General features: G+C 38.0%; 1 long non-coding RNA gene across 6 annotated transcripts in view; it reads right to left on the reverse strand.

The window, feature by feature from the left end:
- Positions 1–23,856, reverse strand: part of LOC105374493 (uncharacterized) — a 98,514-nt gene extending 74,658 nt beyond the window's left edge. For 3 of the 6 annotated variants that reach the window (XR_007058047.1, XR_007058049.1, XR_007058044.1), the window contains exon 1: positions 12,227–23,856. This is a non-coding gene — a long non-coding RNA (uncharacterized LOC105374493). The remainder of the gene's footprint in view (positions 1–12,226) is intronic. The other 3 variants (XR_007058048.1, XR_001741369.2, XR_001741370.2) reach the window with 2 other exon arrangements.
- Between the last annotated feature and the right edge of the window lie 3,365 nt (positions 23,857–27,221).

Consider the following 27,221-nt stretch of genomic DNA (forward strand, 5'->3'; position numbering starts at 1 on the left):
GGTAGGACTTCAGCATATCTTTTGGGGAGGGATAAAATGCAATTAATAACATTGATCAATTCATATGTTATGTTTCTTTCAGTCTATGAAAATACTTCAACCTAAAATGCTAGTAATACTTTCAAACAAAATGTAGTCCCATGTTCTGTAATACCCTTTCAGGAGATCTATAAGGCCAAAACTATTTTTGTAGTACTATTATTTGACCTTTTTATTCTCAGTTTTGGGCAACTATACAGAAATCCTTAGTAATCCTTTTCAAATTCTTTATAATATGTAATAATGTCGTCACTCTGATGGCTAATGGAATGTGCATTTGTATATTATATTATCTAGAATTTTCTGATGTAGTGCTACAGAATAAATTTGTACATTTTCAGAGATAACTAGATTTATTCCTAGAACCTCTACTGTGCTCCTGTTAGCTATACTTGGTTGTAACTGCTAAAATCATTGTAGTCTAACTATTGTCAAAAAAATCATTTGTTGAAAATTCCAAAATTTTTCTTATAATTACATAAAACACAACAAGAAATAGTACACATTTGTGTACTTACTTACATTTGTATTTGAAGATAAATCCTTTGCTTAAAAAGGGAGATTAAAATACTATTTCAATCCACATCTAAACATTCTGAAAAAAATTAAAATGATTTTTCAGTGTTCTCTGACCAATGCAAGAGAGGAATCTACACCAAAGAAACTGAGAAAACTATAATATAAAGATTATGTTTAAAAAACTAAAATAAAAAGTGATACTATAACAAAAAGTGTTTTACTTTATTGTGTCTTAAGCAACACATACTTTTTTAATAGTATCATGGTGACAGTTAAATTGAGGTGCCATTTAGAGATCAATCATTCAGAATTTAAGAAAACCAAATATTCTAAATGAATGCACAATGAGCTCCTTATGCCAACAATTGTCTGTTACAGTTTTTCAAACTAACATGAAAAAGCCGAGCCAGGTGCAGTGATGTGTGCCTGTAGTCCCACCTCTCTACCTGGAAGGATCCACTTAAGCCCAGGAGATCGAGACCAGTCTGGCAACACAGCAAGACCTCATCTCAGAAACAGACAAACAAACAAACAAAGCTACTGAAGCATCTTATAGGAAAAATTATATATTGCATTGGCTAAAGGAGGACACTCAATAACTAAGAGCTTAATAAAACCATGTAGAGTTGACATTTTCAAAATGCCTGCTGAATGAAAAGTCAGTAAAATAAATCACAGCACCACCACTTTCACAAGTTACAGTAACTTGTGAAATTAAACATGTAGCTGCAAATATGAAAACTGAGTTAGTCCAGGAGTGGTGGCTCACACCTGTAATCCCAGCCCTTTGGAATGCCAAGGCGGGCAGATCACCTGAGGTCAGGGGTTTGAGACCAGCCTGGCCAACATGGTGAAACCCTGCCTCTACTAAAAATACAAAAATTAGTCAGGCATGGTGGCGTTTGCCTGTAATTCCAGTTACTCGGGAGGCTGAGGCAGGAGAATCCCTTGACCTCGGGTGGCAGAGGTTGCAGTGAGCTGAGATCAAGCCACTGCACTCTAGCCTGGGTGACAGAGTGAGACTCTGTCTCAAAATAAAATAAAATAAAATAAAATAAAATAAAATAAAATAAAATAAAACCGAGTGAATATCTTTATTACATATTTGAGTAGCAATTTTTCACCATTATATATTTGCAAGAAATTTTAAAAGAGGAAAAGAAGCCAGTGTCACTTAAGAATAACCTAGAAAAAGCACTAAAACATTGATTTTATTAATCTCAATTTTTGATTATAAGCCACATTTTAATATTTTGTGTAGTAAAATGTGAAGTATGCACAAAACACTTTGGCTACAGAACGAAGTCTGATGGTTGTCTCCAGGACAAACACTGCTGCAGTTATTTGAGTTGCAAGCTGAACTACTGCTTTTTTTATTTTGTTTTTGTTTTTCACAGAACATCATTTTTATTCAAAATAAAAACTGACGAACTATATTTAATCAAACTTGGGTATTTGGCAAACATTTTCCTGAAAGTGAATGAAGTGAAGCTGTCAAGTCAAGGCAAACAAATGACGGTATTTGTTGTCGATAATAAAATTCAAGCTTTTGAGTCAAAATTAGAATTTTGGAAACCCTGTATCCTCTACCATGAGATTGACAGCTTCTAAATACTTACAGACTTTTCTGATGAGGTTGGTGGTGATATTAACAAATATAAATCTTAGTGTTAATTTAGAAAACCTGAATAATTCAAATAACCAAATTTTCAAGTATTGAACAATATTACAAAATCAAACATAGATAAAAGATCCATTCAAAAATCAAGATAAACAATGGCTTTTAGTATAATAGAAAATCAAAAGTTTATCAATATCATTTCAGATTACACACTAATCTTTTACAAATTATCCTTGGAAAGTTGATATAGTACAAAAGAAGAACATCAATAATTATTTGAAAAGCTGATTATAAGTTCAACTATGTGTGTGTGTTTGTGTGAGAGAGATTGAATTTTCTACATATATTTCAACCAAAACAATTTATCACACTGACTGAATGCAGAAGCAGATAGGAGAGGAGCTGTCTTCTTTTAAATCAAGTATTACAAATGTTTGCAATGAAAAAAACAAAGTAAAAGGCTTGCAAAAATATAAAATGATGATTTTTAATAGAACTGTGATCATACTTGTTGCTTTTAAATGTGTTAATAAACTTTCAAAAACTCTCACTGCTAATATATAACAAATAAAGATTTAAAAACATCTTTTTGAGGTACTCAATATTTTTTAAAACTAAAAGGAATCTTGAGATCAGTTTGAGAGCTGTTGATCTGAAAATCATTGATAATCCTTTTATGCTCCTTTCCCCTGCTCTTTGAATCCAGCTTGCTTTAAGTTAGGTTCAGATTCTTTATTTCAAGATCATAGCTGGAAGTCCCTGCTAGTATAGTCCATGTGTGGGAGAACCATTCTCTCACTCTCCAGAATGCTTGATTAGAAGGCAATGGGAAGTAGAGAAAAAGAACTGATGGGATAAGAGGAGCAGAGAGGGGAGCAAACGGAGAAGATTGGCACAGTAAGCATACTCTCCTTCTTACCCTGATTCTCTCCTCCACAATCCAGACACAATAGGGCTAGTATCTGCCATGGCACAGAGCTTCCAGGACCCAGACCCAGCACTAAGGCAACATTTATTTTCACCCATTGATGCTATCTATGTTCTACTTGCTCTTAAATATTTTAAATGTTATTCTGACATGTGGCATCATTAGGAGGATTAATTACCACAGCATACGTAAAGTGCTAGCACAGTGCCTGGTGCATAAATATACTCAGTGAATGTTACATATTATTATCACCATGATTTCTTCATCTCATTTTTATGTCTCTGTCTTCCTTGACCTATCTCTGTGTCATGACTGTATTTTACCCTATCTTTTCACACTGGGGCACTACCAGTCCTGAATTATGCAATGAAGACTGAAAACAACTTCAGCATATTCCAAAACAGTGGTTTGCTTTGAGATGCAACCCAACACCTTTCAAAGGAGCCCAACAAAGTGTTCGGGGCATATGCATACCTTCTAAGCATTGGCTTTTGTTGCCCTTTGCCAATTGCAAAAGGAAAAAGAGCAAACTTGCAAAAATATCCCCAAGAGACTACTTGGTATTTGAACCTGGCTCAAGGCAAAAACTATGAAAAGCCCTGTGTGAAAATCGGTCTTTGGTGAGAGACTTCTGGCCAGCAAAGACTGCCTCAATACTCTTCATAAAGCAAACAAGCCTCTGAAAACCTGGCCACTCACTACTGAAGCAACTCAAATTCCAACACTAGGAATTTGACTTATTACTAATACAATTTCCTTCATGAGCAGATGTTGGACACAGAGAATATCCCAACCAGGGCAATTCAGATTCCCAATCCTTCCTATTTTACTTAAGCTGTAGGTGTATTTACACAAAACTTTGGGCAGCATTAAACCACAGCTAGTCAGAGAGGTCCTGGATGCTCAGGAGTAAGTCATCCTTCCCCACTTGAAAGGCATCTTTTGCCCAAGAATCAGCCAAAGGAGTTTCCGGTTCATTCGGAATCCAGGTCTTCAGCACAACATGGCTTTTTGCTTTTTAAATTTTTTTTCCCTACCTGTTCAACCAACAAGCAAGCTGAGACATTAAGTATTTTTCCACGGTTCTCCACAAATGCAAAATGTTGCTTCTGCTCGCATACAAATGAGGCCTTACCGTTTACAAAGAGCTCTCTTACGTGTTTCCTTATTTCATCTTCACAGGAGCCCCTGAAAGTGAGGTGGATGAAGGTTCCAGTTTCCATAGGGTAAAATAAAAACAACTGAATTTGGAGTCAAAAGAACTGACCTTAAGTGCAGCTCTACTGTTAACTAGCTGTGTGGTCTTATATCAGTTAGGATTTAGGTCAACTCTGAGAGACAAAAAATAAATCTAAAATAATAGTGGCTCAGACGAAATAGAAGTCTATTTATTTCTAATATAACAGAGTCCAGAAGTAAGCTATCCAAGATAAGATAAGAATGATCATAAGGGATCCAGCTCCTCACATTTTCTTAGATAATATCTTAGCAGAGATGTGGAAGGGATTTTGTGAAAGAGCATTTGTATTTTAATTCATAGAATATTTGCACCACTATTATACTGATCCTCAACATGCAGCCTCCACCTCACGTCTTAAGATAGTTGCTTGGACTCCAGGCCACCCTGTCCACATTCCAACCATCAGAAAGGAAGAAGAGTGTGTAGGGCAGCTGTTCTCTGTGTCACCACAACCACCTGCCACTTACAAAATTTTCCCTAAAACTTGGCCATGTGACCACAACTAACTTCAAGGGAGGCTGGGTCTTATTTCAGGCATGTGCCCAGCTAAAAATCACAAGTCATATAATAAAGAATAATGAAAAAAAAAAAAAAACGGGTTTTGAGAGACAACCAACAAGCTCTGCTACAATCTCAAGCAAGTTGCATGACCTTGCTGAGCCTGTTTCTTCATCTGTGAATACATGAATTTTAACCCCACAGCCTCGACTGGGGCTGAGGCTGGCCTGACTGATCATCAGCTTTGGGACAGATGGTGCCTGAATCAGGGACTTTATTCTTTTAATATGTGAGCTTCTGAGACACAAAGTACAGATTCAACTAGAACCCGGGCAGGAGAGTGGAGGTCCAAATGCTAAGCACTGAGTCAGGAAAAGAGGTATTTTTGGATGGGATGGAGATGGAATAAAAGTAAGCACTAAGAAGGTAAAATCAAACTACAGGTAATGTGAGGAGTTCGGAAAGAGAAGAAAGGACCAAAGTTATTGCCTCGAACTGCAGACGTTTAGTAGCATTGAATATTTGTTTGTAATGGATGTTTGTTTACAGAGGTATGTTTCTCAAAGAATCAACCTAGTGTTAAAGTCCAGGGTCAGTGCAGGCAATGACGAAGATTAAATGAAAATGTCTGCAAAAACATCTTGTGAACTGTAAAGTGGCACTCACATGTAATAAAAGTAGTATTATTAATAACTAATGCTATCTTACCTTTTTTGCAATTATAAGTGAAGGCAGTACCTCACAAAATCTCGAGTGTCCCAAATGACTGTTTCTGATGATGAGAAATATTTTTTCAGGTGCTCTCCCATACCAACCAAGAGAGTCAGCTCTGGACTGGAATACAGGAAACCCAATTTCCTGACACAGCGCCACAACTTACTATATCTGTGGCCTTTCTAAGTTATTTAGGCAAACTGAGCCTCAGTGTACCCAGCTATAAAATGAAGCAATGTGTGCTTATCTCAAAAGATAACCTTCAACATAGATCCTGGATCCACATGTTAAATAAATATTAACAGAGTAATTTCTACGTGTCATGTATTTTGCTAGAAGCCACTATGCAAACATAATATGGTATGAGGTAGTGATTAGGAGTGTAGATATGAAGGCAGGGTGCCCTAAATCCTAGCTCTGCCATTTGCTAGGTGTCTGATATTGGCCAAGTTCCCTAACCTCACCTTGCTGCAGTTTTCCCATCGGCAAAAGAATGATAATAATGCATACTGCATAGAACTGTCATGAAAGTGAAATGGGTCAATGCATGTAAAGTGCTTAGAACAGTACCTGGCATGTACCAGGTGTTCAATACATATTATCTAGTATTATTATTAAGGTAATTGTTGTTGTCACAATAAAAGCAATTATCTAGCCTGCATGCATGTCATTCTTACCCTTGACTCCACCATCATATAGATCTTTCAGTGGATGTAATTTGGGGGCAACTATTACTTGCCAGGCAATAGACAAGGACTTGGGTATCCGTCATTTATTTCTTACAAGTAACATTGGAATTGTTGTTGTTACCAGAAGAAACTGATGCTTTGTCTAAGCTCCCACCTGGGATCTGAACCAGGTCTTTCTGACTGTAATAATTTTGTTCTTTCTACCTCAACCTATTTTATTTGTATTTCCCTACCTGATCTTTGCTGATTATTTGTTTTTCCTGCCTCGCTGATTAGGAGGAAAGTTCTATTAATAGGAATTATGATTAGTTGACCAGTAGGTGTTATCTATAAGATAAGGCCAGGCTCTTGAACATAACATTGAGTGCCTCCATGGTCTGATTCTTGCCTATCTCTCCAATCTTTTCTCTTTTCCTCACTCTCTCCCACCACTCTGTCATCTATATACTCCCTTTGCCTCACTGAGCTCTTCACTGCTCTTCAAAAGACTCCTCCCCTCCTATAACCAGATTTTTTTCTGACCTTGCCATCTATTTTGCCTTTAATGCTCACCTTTTCTTCTGTTCATCCTATATGATAACTCAGGCTCCTTTAAGACCCATGTCAGAAAGGAAACATCATGAATTACAGATGCAAGCTGCAATAAGCAATGACTTCGTAGAAACCCATTCCAGCTAAGTATTAAGGAATGAAATAAAGATGGTTTATTGATAGCCTCTCTATACTCTATAGAATGAGGGTAGGATTTCCATTCCTGCCTTTCTTACAATGTGTAAGCCTTCCCCCAAAATTTCCAACTGAAGTCTCATTCTTCAAATATTTATTGACCCTGGACTCTGTTCTAAACTTAAACTAGAAAGAGCTGACTCTCTAGAGGGGCAGTGAATACTGATCACATCCCTAAAAATGTGCAATTATTCCTCTCCCCAAATGTAGTTTGGACATTTATCAAGAAATTTGCATTTGGAACCATAGCCATAGATATGATTGAATACAGCAATTCAAATCATTATAAATCAATGCTGCCAAAGATCTTCTAAGCATCCTACTTCCTAGTTTCAGCTCAGTTTTCTCAAATTGTTCTTGAAAGCATTAAGTGCAACTGCAGTGGATCTCTTTGGGCTGAGCTACATATTTCTGCCACAAATATGATGTTCTACTTTGTCACACGTTAACTCCAAATAACCACATGTAGCTGACCTCATGCCTGCTCTGGGAAAATGGGACAACTGGGCTTTGTGCATTTGCATTATGTGTCTTGGAAGTGAAATAGACAAGTGACGGTAGTTTTGCTAGTCCTTTTGACAAAGGATGTCTCTTTGAACTTTTGAAGAACAATTTTAAAGATCCCACATTAGAGTAATATCTCAGCAGAGTTATAGAAGGGACTTTGTAAAAAATCATTTGTACTTTAATTTAAGGAATATTTGCAGCACTAGACACAGAAACAGGGTCTTAGTAAAATGCAAGCTTCATTGGTGCTACAGAAAGATCACAAGGATGGAGCTAGACCTGAAGATAAATTCCAGCTTTGCGACATGCTATGCAGCTTTGGGCAAGTACCTGAACTCCATTAAGCCTCAGTTCAATCAGCTGTAACCTGAGAATAGTAATAATTTCTGGCATTTGTAGGTGTTAGAGAAGCTGTAATTATTCAAAGACATTATCTAAGCTACTTGCCTTGGAAACCAGAGCCTTAGAGACAACTGAACACATAAGTATAAGGAACTATGGCAGAGAGAAGAGAGCCTGTACTGTGAATGGCAGATAGTCTAGCCAAGGCTGAGTTGGACCTCAAATCCTGGATCTAGGCCCCTGCTCTGAAAGCCAAGTGATCTAGTCTATGACAGCCCTAGAGGTGATCACTTTATAAGAAACACACTAAAACATACAGAAGATGGAGGCAGACAACAGAATGCTACTGTAACTGGAAATCTGATCTTGAACCATATCTTAAAACTGTGCTGTAAAAGAGGACCTATTTTGAAAATATCCTCATTGGTAGATACTTCAAAACTTCAGTTGGGTTCTAGGTAGGTGCTGGAGAAAGCTAAAATATCTTCTCAAGAAAATGGGAAAGTGTGTGTGCGTGTGTGTGTGCATGTGTGTGTGTGTTTCTCCAGGTAGGTATGTGGTCCGGTCTAAGACTGAAGGAGTAGAGAATGGGGGAAGGGGATTTCAAAGAAGAAACCACTAGGATAATGAAAGGAAACAAGGATACCTAAGGCTCAGTTTAATGTTATTTGCTCTGCCCTAAAGTTCCACTATCTCAAAACTTCAGGGAAGATCTCATGCCTACTCTTGCCTTATATATATTGGACATTTTTTGTGTGTTTATGAAGAAAAGAGGTTGATTTTCCTGGATCAATGGCTGAGAAGATGTAAAGGAAAAACTAGAAGATCCAAAGTGGGGAAATTTAGCAAATTAGAACCAAAGGTAATCCTATGAATGTAAACCTGCCCTCTCTGCCTCAGCATGAACTCACAGAAATATTAGAAACAGCATTAAACTTTAAACGAAGCATGAAGTGGGAGGCTGAAACAATCTTATCTAGATTCTAAGGGGTAGATGTAAGTGTAAAACTTTAATCAGGAAAAAAATGTATTCCAGGAATTCAATTATTTGAAATCTTCATGATGAATGCCTATTTTCTGCCATCACTCTCCTTAGGAAGCTAAGTCCTAATCAGAATTTTACTTAGGTAAGTAGAAAGTCAGAATCATAGAAATGTAATAATCTTGGGAAAAGGTATCCTCTGAGATATCTTCTATATGTTTATAAAATGGGAATGACTTTGGGACTTTGGCAATTTAAGAATGACCTACACAACTTCTGGTTGACCAAGATTCCCTGTCTTCCAGGCAGTGCTAGAACAAATTGGCCAGGTCCTTATTTACATTCTCTTGGATGTACTAACTACACATATTCAGACCAACCTCAGATGGTATGTTTTCTCTCCTAGAGTTTATTAGTATCATTGCCTGTGATTCAACCTTATTGGGCAGGTGTAGCCTAGTCTTTGTTAGGTCCAGAGCTACCTCAAGATTGACTAACCTCTTGAGGCATTTCCACCCTGTTATTTTAGATTGGTTCTTTTAGGGCTAATTTCCTCCATCATGTGCTGACTTTGTAGTTGAGCCTTCAGAAGGTAATCTTGTGTTCCTTGTTCCCAAGTCCTTAGAAGACAACTTGCTATAGCCTTGAGGATGGAAAATAAGTGTAATAAACTTGGCACCTAGTTGATGTTCAATAAATGTTAATTCCCTCTTTTACCTTGGGGTATAGAAGACCTTTGCAATCTATTTATGAACAAGTATTTAATAAGGGTTGGCAGAGAGTAGTGAGTTAATAACAGCGGCTGCTATGTAAAACGTATTGGCAAAGTGAGTTGAGAACTTTTATGCATTTTTTGTAGAACACTAATAATGTGTATATAACTTGGTTTGATTGAGAGGAATGAAATGATATTGATTATAATGGCAGCATATCTATGCAAAAGGCTTTAGATTCCAAACTTATCTGGAATCTAAACTCTTGAGTTAGTACGAACCTATGGAAATAAAGACTTGTTAAAACTACTCACATCACCAATATAATATATTCCTATCATATATTTACCTTTACATTTGTAAAATCCTTGAAGTGAGAAACTGTGTTTATTCCTAGTATTCAGCAGTGCCTGCTACACAGTGATATTGAATAGGTGTTTCTGAAGTGTGTGTTGAATGCACAACTGATCTCTCCATTTAAAAAAATCACCTTGTCAATGGAACAATGATATCCACTTTATTACTATGTAAATATTCATCCCTCTTGCTGCATTTCTTTCTAGTGGCCATTATTTATCATCTTGCAGTTTGAATCTTTTGTAAAATAATGAGGAAATAAGATGTGCTTGGCATGGGTAGAGGTTTATCTTTTGGGTTGAGGTTTTTTAATTTGTTTTATTTGGGGAGATCTATTTGAGATTTTAATACTAAAATATTTTCTAATTTTTGAAACAACCCCAGCAAAGATAGTATACAAAACACAAAATAAGTGTAGACATTTGTCTAAGATAAAATTCTACTGAATTCAGGGAATCTCTGCTTCACTCATTGTGCATGCTGATGCTGCCTGAACTTCATCCATGTTCACTGAAGAGAAAGGTCAGGGTCTTCCCATGAGTGATGGAGCAGTGCTAAGCAGCCAGCACAGAAAGGAAAACAGAAAAACAAACATCAGGTTCCCGGAAGAGTGAAAGGAAAACAAGTGTGTATTGAATGTCTACTTTATGTCAGGGGTTGCCCGCAGGATGCTTTTCTGTGACTTGATTCAATCCTATAAGAAAGGGATTTATAATTTTCATTCTAGAGAAATATAAACTGCTTTAGTTAAAGTCACATAGCTACTAAGTGGCTGAGATTTTTATTTGGTCTGTCTGGCTCCAAACCTCTATCTTTTTCTACTAAACCAGTATTTCCTATGTGTTTCTGATTCAAAAAATAACCTGAAGCACTTAATAAAAATATACATTTTCAGGCCTCTGTCTAAGAGATCTCATCTGGATAAGTCTGGGTTAAGTTTGTGAAATTTAAACAATCACACCAGGTGGTTTTTGTGAGCAAGCGAGGTCTGCATCCCCCGACTCACCATTCTACCTTCCAGAGATATCCAAAGTGTCAAAATATACAAGAGCTTCAAAATAGCCCAAAGAGAGACAAAGCGCTAAAAGACTTTAAATATCCCCATCATCATCTCCCTTCCCCTTCATCCTGCCATCTCTCCATTTCATTTTGTGAACAGTAGACATATATTCACAGCATGTACCCTCAGCTTAAAGCACCCGTTTCAACAGATTTATCCCACCAAGCCTCTCCTATACAAAAATGATGAAATCTACTCTGGAAAGAGCTCAGTCTTGGTTAATTTCATTCTAGAAAGTCTGGGCAAAAACACACACAAAAAAAAAACAAAAAAAAATAGTCAAATGATTTTCCAGATTAATATGGTTTGAATGGATCTGAAAGTTCTCTCTCCTAGCTCCCCTCTCCATTTCTCTTTTGAGTTCTCACTGTCTGTTTCTGCATCTCTGTTTCTCTATAAGTTGTATGCATATTCTAAAATACCTGCGTCTTGCCACTAAACTTTGTATGAGTCATCACTTATGAAGATGAGGCTTCTAGGATTCCCTCTCTATAAATAGATTATTTTTAAGGAGTCAATTCTTAAGCCAGTATTTGTAAAACATTTTCCTTGAAGTCTAATGACAGAAAAAAGTTACTTGTGCCCTTGGAAGTTGTGGAAACACAACCATAGCATCCTACAAAAAGCATGCAATTCATTTAAAGTTTTTTTTTAAATCTTAAAATTTCATGTGAATTTGTTTTTTAAATTATTGACATAATTTAAAATTTGTCCATATTGATTTTAATATAAGAATTTTATTTTTCAATATCTATGAATTAAATTAAATATGTGTATATGTATGGACATCTATGGATGTGTGTGTGTGTGTGTGTGTGTGTGTGTGTGTGTAGCTTTTCTGAAGCTTTGCCATCCCTGTGTACAGATGAAAATACATAGCATTCAATCACTACCATGCATTAACACTTCACCTTAAATAAGTTTACTTGATTAGTTAACTTTCCCAAAATAATGTGACCCAAGATGGAAATTTATTAAATAGGAAATGGAAGAGAAAAGGTCCAAGCAATGGTATGGATTTGCACATTCCCTGAGGCTGATTATCAAATGAAAGATACCTTATTGTTGACTAGTCAGTTTGAGTACAAATATTACTTTGAGTCAGATCCTGCTTCCAAGTCTCTCTCAACTTCAGAGTGAATAAGCCTGATTTATTTTCCAAATTGCATGTCACTTCCACATTCACTGTCATATGTGAGCTTTACTTTAACTTTATAGAACTAACAAGGCAGAAATTGTTCTCTGAATCTGACAGAGAAAAAAGAAGGAACAGCAAGATTATAAGACTTACCTAGAATCACACAGATCATTCTAGTTTCCATTTCTCCATATTTCTTCTATGACCTATCCAGTAATATCTCAGACATTTTCAGAAATATTAGACATATTCAGTAAGTTATGGCTGAACTGAATTTATTATTCCAACATAAGATTGGGAGTGCAAAGCTTAGATTTGCAGCTCAATTCTTTCACTCTTCTTAATCTGGTGTCATTATAAAAACATAAGTTGCATTGCAAAAAATGCTAGTAATTTGATAAATAATATTTATGCACCTCCTTGCAAACCAGCTTTCAGAGTAAAAATATAAAATTGTGCACTGCCCAACTAAAAAAACAAAACAAAAATCCCTCCTGTGTTATCACTGAGAAATCAAGAGACTATTTTTTAAGTTCCAAAGGGCTCAACAGAAGTCAATATTTGTAAATATTAACCTTGTGAGCAAGCAAGGTTTGAATCTCTTGCTGCACCATTTTTGAGTAGTCCAATCTGATAAGAAGAATTCAAATTGGATTGTGATCTGTTTAAATGAAACTCTCCATTTATATCAAATGTGCTCTTTAGTCAGAATAGGAGAGAGGGTAATAAAAAAAGAGTACAGTTCCGCTGAAAGAGGCCTTGACTCTTTATCATCCATCAGGCAAGGTGAAAAGCTCACTGAAAACTCCAGTGAGATTACATTTAACATAAACTTCCTGAGCTGAATTCCATTATTGCTAAAATAACTAGAAGGGAATCATTTAAATATTTTCCTGATGCCAGTATGGGGTCTTATTCAGCTTCTGACTAACAGCATTTTGAGAACAGTTCATCCTCCCTCAAAGTGTGGAGAATTGCTTAAGTTTTATATATAGAAAAAAAAAAACATTTTAAAAGTGTTATTTTAATCTGCCTGCTGATGAAAGTTATCCTGATAGAAGTGAACCACTGCTGCTTCAGACATCCAGCAATAGACATCAGTACTTCCAAGGAAGTTCATGTCATTGTTGGACATAAAATTATGTTGGAAAGATACAAGCCACAGTGAAGTGAAAAACTGTGAGAGCATACTGCAACCCCCAGCCAGAGAAAAGAAATGGGTGAGAAATTTCTCAGAGGCTTCTTGCAGTCAGGTTTGATAGGGTCGTGGCAAAAACTGTTAACAGTTCAAACATCTGCTAGAAATCTCATTCATTTAAGAGAAAAGCATGCAATGAATTCTTAATTCATTCACTGATAATTTTCACTTTCAGAATAGAGAGGAAAGGTCAGAATATTTGGGCATTATTCTTACAAAGTAATTACTGGTCTTGTGGAAATGATTTAAACTTGAAAAAAAGAGTGTATTATATTAAATTTCATGTATTTGAGACAATCAACATGGTGCAGAATTGGATAAAAGGCAACTCTCAAAAAGACAAGACCAAAAAAATAGTGCCATTTCGTGGTATTCATTTATTCGCTTATTCTATTACCTTATTACTATTTGATATTTATTGAACATGTACTGTATGCCAGGCTCTGTGAGGTCCCAGAGCATAAAGATAAATAATAAAGTCTCTGCCCAAAGGAGTTTGTAATATGGCAGACAACACAAGAAAAATGAATCAAGGATTCAGGCCAGTGATGATAAGTTTAAAAAGAAGGTTGTGATCTCTTGACTACTCTTCCTGTGTACATTACAGGATTTGGGTAAGAGTACTACATGCCACTCAGGGTCAAAGCAGAGGGAGAAAGGAAAATCATGGGCAAGTATCTTTATGGTGGTTTCCATGGGAAGAAACAGGGAATACAGAGTACACGGGCTCAGAATTAGCGAGTCTGAATACCTTCAGTAGGCTCTGAGGCATGGGGTCATCCCTGATTGTCTGGTACCTGGCCCTGGGGCGATTAGGCTGGTGGATAGTGTTCAGGCATGTGAAAGCCTGATAAGGAAGTGGTTGGGGGTATGGAGTTAATTAGCTGTTCAAGAAAAGAAACTGACCAGCCTCCAGCGGGGACTTCAAAACTAAATCAAGAAAGAATTTTATAAAACCATGTTACATTCATGCCATCTCAGAGCAGCATAGATAACTCATCATAAAGTGCATGCTGTGCTGCAGTTGCTTATTACGTCTCCTGTATTTTCTACCTGATTAAACTAGCTCTATGAGGGCAAGGACACCCCTAGCATCCAGCACATACAAGATGTCTGATGAATGCTTTGAATGAAACAGAAGGGCATTTAGGTTATGTTTCAAAGAATGAATAGGAGTTGCCTAAAAGCAGATGACTGGGGTAAGAAACCAAAGAAAAAAAAAAAAAGGTAGACCAGTGCTAGAAAGTGTTTTGGAATGGCAAACAGTTTTAGGTTTCTTAGCTTACTATTTAGGGAGAAATATCAAGATATAATGAGACTAGAAAAAAAAATTGAGGTAAAATGAAGGAAAACATGATGTGTTCGTGTAAGAAATTTTAATTTTATCCTATATTAAATGGTGAGGCAGGAAGTTCTAGCACAAGAAGATGGCCAGACAAGTGAGTGCCATGGGTTGCTTTTCAACGTGGAAAATAAATAGGAGAGATAAGATTTTTCTTACCGTAAGCAATGTCCCATAATAACTGGCACAGTTCTCTCTAAGCACAAATGCTTTCACCTCTAGAGCCAGCCTTCATTTTCTGTTTATGGCTGGGTCCATGATGAAACACAATGATATGTAGTTATGACCTACACAATATGCTACAAAAAATCCCTCAGCTAATATCACCAATAGATTTCATCTTCTTTTTCACTTTTTTCCCCATGTAGCATGAGCAGATGAATTAAAAAAAAAACTATATAGAAGTACACATTTTTCCAAGAATATGTAATGCCTAAAATATAATTGCTTAAGTCATAAAAGATCTGGTCTCCAAACAAGTTATATTTATCTAATGACTGTCCAACTGTCTTTAAATTACTGTTTAATAACTACCTTGTGCTCTTATTAAGGAAAAATCATACATGGTGTGATATTGTGTTATGGTTTATTATTTTTATTCAGACACAGACATGACACCATAACATTAAGAAGTCATGTCTTTGGCCATATTCAAATAAATAATATACACTAAAAGCCGCAATCTGTGAAGGATCGCAGGGTTTCCATAAGAAAACGAAAATGTAGATGCAGACATCTGATTTGCTCAGTTCCTTCACAAGATCCTTGCAGCCTCCTCCATGTGGGACATAAAGAGCTTTTGTGACGCACATGCTGTGCATCACAAATGGAGAGGCTGGCCAAGAAAAATATACAGTTACCAGAAGAATAAACCCAGGATGAAAAGCACAGAGGTAGCATCAATAGACGTCTAATATGCCATTGGCCCCATCTGGTTAGAATCACATCATCAGAATCAGAGCTGGAGTAGACCTTCCAGGTCATCCCTTCCATCCTCTTACCAACACAACAATCATCTTTTTGAAGACCAAGTCCAGTTCAATTTCACATGTCTCAAGAGACAAAAATTCCACAGATTCTGGAAGCAAGATATTTACCATATTTAAAGAGCCAAAAGTAGACATAGTAGAGATTTCAGTCAGTAAAAAAACTGTATTTGGCCTTTGAAATATAAGTATAGGTTTTTTAAAGTAAAAATTCTCCCAGTAAAAGACAGCTTGAGGCAGAGGGAGAATCACAACTGAGATGGAAGGAAGAATTGCTGTGAGCTGTTAACAAAGATTTAAGGGACCCTCAGAATTGTTTTCAAGGGAGCTTCAAGAATCAGTCTAGAAAAATTCTGTCAGTGTTCAAATCCTTCCTCCATGCTACAGAGGACAGTGGAACAGTTGTCACCAGGAACTAGCTAAGGTGTGGAAAAAAAGAGCTGAGCTGAAAATCAAAGCTTTAGGTTCTTTTTTTTTTTTTTTTTTTTTTTGAGGCAGAGTCTCACTCTGTCGCCCAGGCTGGAGTGCAGTGGCACGATCTCAGCTCACTACAACCTCTGCCTCCCAGGTTTAAGCAATTCTCATGCCTCAGCCTCCCAAGTAGGTGGGATCACAGGTGTGCACCACCACACCTGGCTAATTTTTTTGTATTTTTAGTAGAGACAGGGTTTTGCCATGTTGGCCAGGCTGGTCTCGAACTCCTGACCTCAAGTGATCCACCCACCCTGGCCTCCCGAACTGCTGGGATTACAAGTATAAGCCACGATGCCCGGCCTCTGTAGGTTCTTATTATAGATAACGGAAGACATTTGGCCTTTGGGAGATGGTAGGGAGAGGAGGACGATTGCCTACTAAGAGAAATCCTATGTGAAGAGCCAAGAGGCAGAATCAGAACATGTATTAAATTTTTAAGAGTCTGTCTGAAGGTAAGATCAAAGATAGCCTATGGAGACAAGAGTTTGCGAGTGAGAAAATAAGATATAGTACAAACAGGTTTAGGCCAAAAAGAATGAGGAACTCCTAAATGGTTGTCTTTAAGAGTCGTTTTTTGTTCAAAAGAAGTACTATGTGGTAGTCTAATTATATACATATAATTAGACATATATATATATATGAGACAGATAAAGCAGAGATATTCTGGGTAAAACATGAGACAGGATTGAATATGTGGGGAATGCTCCAGGCCTCCTGCTCAAATCCACCTATTCCTTTGGAGGCCCTTGCTGCAATGCTGTGGAACTCCCAGGAAAAACACCAATTCTCAACTGTAGAATTAAGATTTCATTTATGAGTATTCTGTGGTGGAGTATGTCAAAAGGGAAATGTTAAAGCTCCTGAATGAGGAATTTTACCCGCAGAACTCAGAGCTTGTTTTATTGAAGGCAATGTTCTATCACCTTTCACATCCATGTGACTCAGTATTCTTCGCAAATGCCACAATCCTATCTGTCTCAGCAGAGTATGTGATGTGCAGTCTCTGAACACTTTCTGTGGCTTGCTTTTATGTACCAGTAAAGTGAGACAGCCAAGTCTAAAGAGGTCAAGGCAGGAAGTATAGCAAGGAGATAGAAGGTAAATAGTGTGAAAAAGAGAAATGAGAGAATCGCCAAACCATAATACAGGAAAGCAGTAGAAAATAAAGCCAGAGTAGGTAAAGAGACCCTCAAGGACGAAACTGGGTATTGATGGTATAACCAACAGTGCTATTTTCTAAACCAAAGGTAAATACCATCATTTTTTCTTGTTAGGAGAAATATTTTGTTTGGAAAATATACTCTCCTACACCCAGCCTTGTATTTAACTAGATCAGTCATAGGAATTCCATCCCCCTTGCAATATTGATTAGGAATATGACGCCATCATGGCCAAAGAAGAAATGTGAAAGGGGGCTTCTGTAGAGAATTTTCCTGCTCCGATAATGGCACAGCTGTGATGAGATGGCCTTTCTTCTTCTCTTAGGTATTCTGTCTAGCCACCTAGAATTAAAGAAGTCATCTGTGACTCAAAAGGAACATACGGGGTGACAATGTTGACACAAACATCTTTCTTCCTTGATGTCAACGTTGCACCAGTGAATTGTCCAAGCCCTACTTTGGGCTCCTCTTTAGAGAAAATATCAGTTTTTGCTTACTTCCTGGGTAAGTTGAGAAAATAGGTTTCTTTAGCGGTGAGCTAAGCATCCCAGTTGATACTGGAAGGTGGAAAGAAGCCTTACACCCTAACTCACAATTGCTATCTCCTGAGCATTTCTTGTAGATATTGCTTTGTACCTGTCACTGAACTGAAACTTTTTTTTTTTTTAAGACGGAGTCTCGCTCTGTCGCCCAGGCTGCAGTGCAGTGGTGCCATCTCCGTTCACTGCAAGCTCCGCCTACCAAGTTCACGCCATTCTCCTGTCTCAGCCTCCTGAGTAGCTGGTACTATAGGCGCCCGCCACCACGCCCGGCTAATTTTTTGTGTTTTTAGTAGAGACGGGGTTTCACCATGTTAGCCAGGATGTTCTCAATCTCCTGACGTCGTGATCCACCCGCCTCGGCCTCCCAAAGTGCTGGGATTACAGGCGTGAGCCACTGCGCCTGGCTGAAACTTTTTTTCTTAAAGCAACAGATATTCATTGGGTAGAGAAGGACTAAGAAATATGATGGAAGAGAAACATGGGCTGGTTTTGTAAGATGAAGTTAAACCCTTCTTCCCCAAGTTTGAGTGAAAAGTTTAAATATTTATGCATAGTGGGCAATATGGGAGAAAGAAAAATTTTTCCCTGGGGAAAGCAAAGTAAATGAAACAATGCCCGTGAGCTTCTTGAGAACAGGTACCATGGTTTGCCCATTTTGGAGTATCCAATACCAGCAACATGCCTGACACATGGTAGGTACTCTGTAAATGCAGAACTAATTAATTGAAAGACACCAGAGATCTAGAAATTAATATTTATTCTCAGTCTCATCTAGGCATTTCCCAGTTGCTTATAGCATGTTTGTGTATGGGCCTACATTGGTACCAGGAACTAAATCTAAACATGAGAACTTGTTAAGCAATAGCTGCAAATGTGGTACAGCCATGGAAATTTTAAAGCAGAAACTGATGACTGTTCATTAAAATTAAAAGCTATATTCAGCTTCCCAGGATAGTAGGAAGAGTCACAATGAATGAACCTAAAGCTTATGTGCATGAACATTACAGCTCAAAATATTTTGATGTGTCCTACTTCCCGTGGTCCTTCCAACAGTTCCGAACACATATTAGGACAGATTCTTCCCTTGTATGGTTTAGCAAGGTGGCTGAATTCTAGCCAACGGATGTCAGTGAACTTATAGGTATCATTTCTGCATACAGCTTTTGAGAAATATTCCATTTCCATATTTTCTTTTCACTGTCCTACCAGCAGTGATGAGAGCAGTGAAACTGTAGGGAATGTCAGAGCCAAAAACTAGAAAGTTTCAAAGACACAGTAATTCATAGACAATCTTTGAGCCTATGAATTACTGCAATAAACAATCAATGCCAACCAGAAATACCTGCACTGGGATTGATCTGTTTTATATTTTGTCATTATTTTGGTGCCATAGTTTAGCCTATTTTACGTAATACAACTTGTACACACCTATTTGGCTTATGAGCACAATACAAGCTTTGTCAACACCTTAGAATGATAGGCAGAATCATGTCAAAAAAAATCTGCAATTAACATGAGTGTGCTTTGCAGTTCACAATGCTTTGACATACACTAGCTTGTATGGTCCTTCCAACAGCCCCAAGAGACAGGCAGGGTAAACATTATTATCTTCATTTCAGAGGTGAGAAGTTCAATGATCAGGGAGATTAAACAAATTGTCCAAATCTAGTGAGTGCTAGACTTAGAATTAAAGCATGAGTCTTTTGATTCCAAATCCTTTGCTTTTATCATTGTAATATTCTGAATGTCTGCCTCTGTATAAAATATTTTCGTGATTGATGATTTTTTGCGGAAATTTCTCTGAGGGATTAAGGCGCTTCTTGGAAAACTCAATTCGCTTGAGTTCTAAATATGAAAGGATTTATAAATCCAGAGGATTTAGCAATAAGGCTGGATCTAGCACAGATCACTTTTCTTTGTAGACGCTCTCAGTGTCTCAGACTTGGATGGCTCCTGCAGAAGTTGTTGAGCTCACTCTCTTTCATTGAAACAAAGACTGCTCTGACACATCCCTGAGAACTGATCAGTCAGCCTCTGCTTGAACACCTCTAGTGAGGGAGCACTCACTACTTTAAAAGCTTTCTCAATCTGTTGTTATGGTAGCCAGTGTGGCCTGACTTCCCCAGAACTTTTCTGGTTTTAAGGCTGAAAATCCCACATCCTAGGGATGCCCTGAGTCCTGAGTAAACAAGCAGGGTGTTGGCTACCCTACTACCATTGTTGAACAATGGAAATTATTGAAACCTTTTAATTGAAATGAAGCATGCCTGGCTGTAACTTCAATCAAGGTTACCTGTTCTGCCCTCCCAGTGTCTGTTATTCAACCAGCATCTGTTTCTTGCAGATTTCTGGATTCTCTGGTTTTGTCTAGCTACAAGCCGGAGGTAAAACTTCATTTTCAGGTTTACCCTACTTTATGTCTCACAGACAGAGCCTGATGACACACTAGCAATAATCCAGATCACCTAAGTAAATTATTCTCCCTATAAGACTAAAGAATAACCCTCTGGAAATTATTTTTCTGTTTCCCCAGCATGAGCTTTATGATGGCATTAATAACAATAAAAATAAATGTAATACTATTATAATCAATCAAGGGTAAGGCTAATGTATTAATAGTAATTGATTCTTAAACAGGAACTAATTATTTTCTCACTGCATGGTCTTAAGAAAAACAATACTATGTCTTCTAAGGTTTCACCACTGAACTTAATTTGCCTCTGAGATTTGAATTATTTTTTTCTTCTTTTCTTTTTTCTTCTTCTTCTTTTTTTTTTTTTTTTTTTAATATGAGTGCACCACTTACTCTTTGGGGAAAAAGGAACAGTTTCTAAATTATTGGGTACTGAGGGACTACCAAAACCAGGAAATTCATGTTTTATGAGTTTTCCCCAAATCAAAGCAACAGGGTTATGGTCAACATCATCCTTTCACTCCCACTGGGTCCTTTCTGGGAGGTGCTTTCAGAGGCAAAAGAAACTTTTTGCCGTGAAAGTCACATCCACTTTATGGCTTTGTTTCCTGCTGAAAATCTAGATCTGATTGTTCTAAATCTGACTGTGATTCAAACTTCCTACATAAATTTAGGAAAAACCACTTAAGGTCTTTATTTCAGTTTCAGATACATACACACATAGACCTGTATTACCTAGCTACAGTATGTATCTTTCATAAAACAATAGTAAATGTCTGATAAATAAGTAATATTTTTTGTGCTTTTTCCTATACCAAGTGTATGCTAATGAATTTCTGTGCTTACATCCAATAGTGTAAGTTGGGTTTTATTATACACAATTTACAGGTAAAAAGAATAGCATCCCAGAAGGATCTAAACCTTCCCAAGGTCATCACCTCATGCAGTGGCTCTCTAATCTGGGCAATCGTACCCTTTTCACCCGCTACCCCCACCCCACTCCAAGCCAGGAGTTATTTAGTAATGTCTGAAGGCATTGTGAATTGTTGTAACTGGGCAGGTGCTATTCTCATTTAGAAGGTAGAAACCCAAGATCCTACCATATATCCTACTGTGTGTAAGGCAGGCCCCTCTCCCCTTCAACATAGAACTAAGTGGCCCAAAATGTCAGTCCTGCTGAGGTTGAGAAATACTAAGCTAATACATGGCAGACTGAGGATTCAATCCCAAATAATATAATCTCAGAGTGCACATTCAATATTTGCTCTTGAAATACATATTTAGTATTACATACCTTACCTGGGCATGGTTGCTCGTGCCTGTAGTACTAGCTGCTCAGGAAGCTAAGGCAGGAGAACTGCTTGAGCCCAGAAGTTGAAGTCCAGCCTGGACAATGTAGCAAGACATCATCTCTAAAAAGAAATAAATACATACATACACACATAAACACATAAACAAAATATTATCTATTTTATCAAAATACTAATGATAATAGAAATCCATCATTTTGCAATATATTGTTGTACTCCTTTGTCCATTTATAACTCATAGTTTTTAGGGTCTAAGATAAGGGACCTGAATAATTCTTGGTAGACTATGGCAAAGGCATTTGCATATATATTATACATAACGAAAGCTAATGAGAAAGATGGAGCCCACCTAAGAAAATCTCAAGGGCTAGATCCATTCTAAAAGGGTGTTAATGCCTAAAGTGTTTTTAAGAGCATAGTTGGGTCACATTTTATTGATGGAAGTGCCTTACGAAGATTGGTAGAACTACAATTGAGATAGACCCATGTGCTTAATATTGAATTATTTTTCACAAGCAACCTTTGCACAATGAGCTGGGATTGGTATGGCTATGAAAGTGGTAACTCAAGGTCTGTACCCAGAATGATGCCACTCAGGCTGGCATGGGCTTTAGCTAAGTCCAGGTCAAAAGCTCCATGCTGTGCCCTGGGCAGAGAGCAAGATTCAGTCTCCTGTCATGGTCCACCCTTTTCCTTGTAGGCACCAAGCATGCACTCTGAGGCCAGAGCAAGACTTTGTGTAGCCAGAATAGATTCAGGAGAGAGCAATACTTGGCTGTGATGCAGACAACCTTTGAACAGGGGATGACTTCTATAACTACAATTTCTGATAGCTTCAGCGCACAAAAGGAAACCATGAGAGTCTTGGCAATTGCCAGCACTCAGGCAGGCATGGATCCCAGACCCCACTTCGTGTTTGCATTAAGCCAATAGCTCATTGGAGTAAGGCTTTAATGGGGGAATAGGACCTGATGTCTGGTTTTTTGTGCCAGATATTCTTTTTATTCTCATCTCACAAGTATTTCTGAACATTTGATATTAATTGTACAATTTTTCAAGTACACACACTGGTAAAACCAAGAAGGATACGAGAACATCCTTGTGCTCTTGGGATTTTCACTTTAGTTAGTAAATATTCAATGTGATCATTAAGAAAAGAAAAGGAGTTATTTCCTTATTTACTATACATTTGATAAATATCTACTATGTGCAAAGTATGGTGTAGGTATGAAAGAAAAATATAACTGAATATATGAGCCCTCTCTTCAGAAATCTTCTAATATGGTGCAAGAAGCAGACGGATGGTGTGGCAAGAAGAGGAAAGGAAGAGAAGCAAGGGAAGGGAAGTGAAGGGAAATGAAGGAGACGGGAGGAAGGAAGGAAGCTCAGATGTAAATATGGCCTCCCATTTCATTGTTGGATTACCTTGGGACAGCTACTGAACTCTCTCAGGCTCAGTTTTCTCATCCATAAAATAGGCACAATAATACCTATTTTGTGAACAGAACAGAAATTTTTAAGAGCTTTAATAAAAGTATAATTATGGGTGTTCACTTGCTCTCGGGTATGGAGATGGCCAAAAGAGATGCCCCTAGCTTCTGTGCCAGTCCTAAAGAAATTGATGAATGGTCAATCTGCTATCCTCCCCACCAGTGATGCTCTAACCCAGAAGGACCAAGGGAATCCAGGCCCAGAGACTGGGGAAAAAGAAAATGAAAAGTGGTTTAACTCAGCCACACAGTAATCAAAAAGACAGGTGTAAATTAGCAGAACTTACTTTCTTAGAATACCCTAGGGCATTTTATAGGGAATAGGCTTTGAAAACATGGCTTGGGTTGATAGAACATTGACAGTGAACTCTGTATCTCCTGTTTCTATTCTTCCGTCCTAGCTGTGCACTCCTATCACCTTGTGTATAAATGCAGAAGCCACGAACACACACAAGACCACTGAATCAGAATCTCTGGGGGCAGAGCCCAGAAGCTGTACATTGAAGAATCACAGCCAGGAGTGGAAATCACTGCAGTAGAGCATCACTGCATTTGGGTTGAGGGGTTGGGGGGTGGGGAATAAAACCTTTTCACTTCTGGTTTAGGCTCCTCAGTATGCAAAAGTGACTCTAAGATGATTTGATATCATGCATGAGAAGGTAGATTCTTCCTTTGACTGTATGATTATTACTTTGTCAGTCCCTCTGGATAGTGTCACACACCATCCCTCCAGCCAGTGCACTATCTTTAGGAATGACACTGACATTTCTTCTCCCTTAACTTCCACATTCTTTCACACCCCAAATCTGGTCAACCCAACTTTCTTAGTGTTTTTCAATCCTTATCATCGTCTCCCTCTTCATTTATACTGCCTTCTTCCAAGCATTCATAATCTATTACTTTCTTATTTAAATGTCTATTTTATTTGAATAAAAAGTGTTAAATATTAACATTTAAAAAGGAAAGAAAAAGACAGGAGCTAACACATAAAGCAACTACTGGGTATGAACCCTGGATGGGAGTCTTCATACATCATCTGATTTTGATTGCTGTAACAACCTCATGAGTTTAGTTTCCATCTCAAACCACTCTGCAGAGGAGAAGATGAAGTAGTCAGTGATTTTTCCAAATGCTATACTGCTAATACAGGCAGAGCAGGTTCTTAAATCTAGTATCCTTAAAGCAACCAAAAGTTTTTCAACGAGTTTCATAATCATTGCCAGTACATCCTTCCTAATGGCTGATCCGCATTCCAGCTGGCTTTATATAAATCTCTTTTTATTGTTTTCTTTGCCTGAATGAACACAGGGACCAACTGTTCCCTGTCACTCATCTATTACACTTTCAGACACTTGAAGCCTGAGAATCGCTTCTAATTTTCTAATTAATCAATCATACTTTCATATATACTAAATTTAGTTTCCATTGATGGAACAGCCACAGATTGCTGGCACCATCCTTGGCACTGGTGGGCAGTGGTCAGGAGGGAGGAAGATGACAAAGTCATTGGAATTGGGGCACTTGAATCCAATAGAAGCATGACAGATGACAACCAGGCAGAGTAGTTAAGTGCATTCTCTGAAGCGAATTCCTGAAATAAATAGGAAGGCTGTGGGTAAAATAAGGCAATAATCCAACAGCCCTCTTACCCAGCTGGGCAACCTCCTTAGACAAATAAACAGCATCCTTTTAACCATCTACACAGGCTCACAGTTGAGCCAATTTATCTGTATCATCTACAAACAATATTTCACTTAATCTAAGGCAGAACAGCAGCACAAACATTGAGGTCTGGGTCTGTAACCATTTCTTCAACACTGAAATGTTTATGGGAACGTTCAAGGCTAAGAAAGAAAGAACATGTGAGTCCTCAGCGGACACTGCTATCCTTGCTGGGTACAGTTTCTCACTTATTCATATATGATGTGCTACAGAGGACCAGCATTAGCCAGTCATCCTTCAGTGAGTATCAAGTCAAGAGCTTTTGGTTCTTGGCTGAGCTGTGTTTTTCACTAGTTGTGTGATGTTAGGGAAGCCACTTGAGTTCACTCAGTATCAGTGTATTAGTCTGTTTTCATGCGGCTAATAAAGACATACCCAAGACTGGGTAATTTATACAGGAAAAAGGTTTAATGGATTTACAGTTCCACGTGGCTGGGGAGGCCTCACAATCATGGAAGAAAGCCAGGAGCAAGTCACATCTTATGTGGATGGCGGCAGGCAAATAGAGAGAGCTTGTGCAGGGAAACTTCAGTTTTAAAAACCATCAGATCTCATAAGACTTATTCACTATCAGGAGAACAGCCCAGGAAAGACCTGACCCCATGATTCAATTACCTCCCACCGGGTTCCTCCCATGACATGTGGAAATTGTGGGAGTTACAATTCAAGATGAGATTAGGGTGGGGACACAGCCAAACCATATCACTCAGTTTGGTCAAAAATCCAAACAGTGAGTTAAGCTAGGTCTCTCTATAGAGCTCTTCCAACTTAGTATCTCTAAAGCTTCACTTGGATAAGGATTTCTAACAGAGAAAATAGTATCAGTGCTTTTTACCTGGAGATATTCAATAGTCTGAACAGAAAGAGCATCTTCACTCTTCCTCAATTTCTATGTCACCTGTATGAGTAATTGTCATTGTTCAACAATACCAGCAAGGAATATATGATGCTTAATGTTTCTCCTACTCTACCATGTCTGCCTTGTCTTCCCACTAGTTCATCCACAGGAATCTTTCCTATGCTTGGCATATCAACATTCACAGGTACTATACTGTGTGTGAGTAAGGAGGCATCAGGTAGCAAGCACTATGCCATGGAATCGACCTCTGAGATGTCAAGAGGAAATTTCAAGATGGAGGCCAAGCAAGGAAGTAACTTGAATGACATCCTCACATAAATTTGTACCTTCATAGGCATGGGGGAACATCTGTTGTTTTTGTTCATCCACCATTCACACCCACTTCCTCCAGAAACAGCAGTCCAACTTTTCTTTTGGGAAGAATTTTTCCCCTACACATGGTACACATAGTTTTGGAGTGGATAGGGGAGTCAAGCCTCAACCAACCACATGGTCTTTCCTCTGAATATAGTGACTGGCTCAGTGATGGGGGCATGATCCATCTGAGGCTTGTAAGAATTAGCTCTAGGTTGGAGAGAGACTTCTCCTGGTACTACCCATAACAAGCAAGATGTAAACCTAGAACTGCTAGGAGCCATCACATGGAACATGAAAACAAGCCAACACAAAGGAAGTCATGAACTCTGATGATACGGACTGAGTCCTTTGATTCAGCCAGGCCTGAAATGACTTCTTCATTTCTAGTAAAGCCAGTTTCTATTGGGATTCTACTACTTGAAACCAGAAGATCCGTGGGTTATACACTAAAGGCAAGCATTGGCCCTTGAATTTGCTTTTTAAGAAATTTTAGTAGGTGCTTTGATAGATTAACAATCTCTAAGATAGCTTCCAGTTTTATCATTCAGTGTACCTTTAAAACTAACTTGACCAACCAAAAAAGGAAACTTAAAAAAGAAGATAAAACTAATCTGGCCAAGAAAAGCCACATAGTAGATCAGTGACTGTTAATCAGGCTGACCTGAGTTTGAATCCCAACTTATCTACTGCCTCATTCTAATAGCCTAGTTACTTGGCCTCAGTGAGCTTGTGTGTTTCTCTATAACGGGTGTAATGATATGTAGCTTGAAGAATTGCCTTCCAAGATTAAATTAAAACATTGAATACCAGGTCAATTTCCTGACACACAATATGCAGTCAACGGATGGCAGCTGTGATTATTTTATAATTTTATTTGTCCATGGAACCAGAAGCCACATCTAACAGTGTCTTATGTGAGTGTAATAATGGTCTTTCCTTACAACTGCAAACTCAATACACTTTCAAAATATTTTCATACCCATTAGCTCATTTTCCCATTTCCCCATTGCTCAAGAGTAGTCAAAGTTGGTGTGACAACTATCACTTTAAAGAAGAAGAAATCAAGGTCTTACAGCCACAAAGTAGAGTCAGAACCAAAACCACAGCCCTCTAACCCCAAGCTCAGAGCTCTACTTTCCCCACCTCACAGACCTGATGCCCAAAACCTGTGTCATCTCTCAGGGTCTCCACTGATAGAGTTCTGTATATTACCAAGTCATAGAGTTATGAAGTTAGAACAGTCATTGGAAATCCCAACCTCTACCCCTCCAGAATTTCTAACAATATTGTGGTTA

This window comes from Homo sapiens, chromosome 4 (genome assembly GCF_000001405.40).
Source record: "Homo sapiens chromosome 4, GRCh38.p14 Primary Assembly".
NCBI classification, from domain to species: domain Eukaryota; kingdom Metazoa; phylum Chordata; class Mammalia; order Primates; family Hominidae; genus Homo; species Homo sapiens.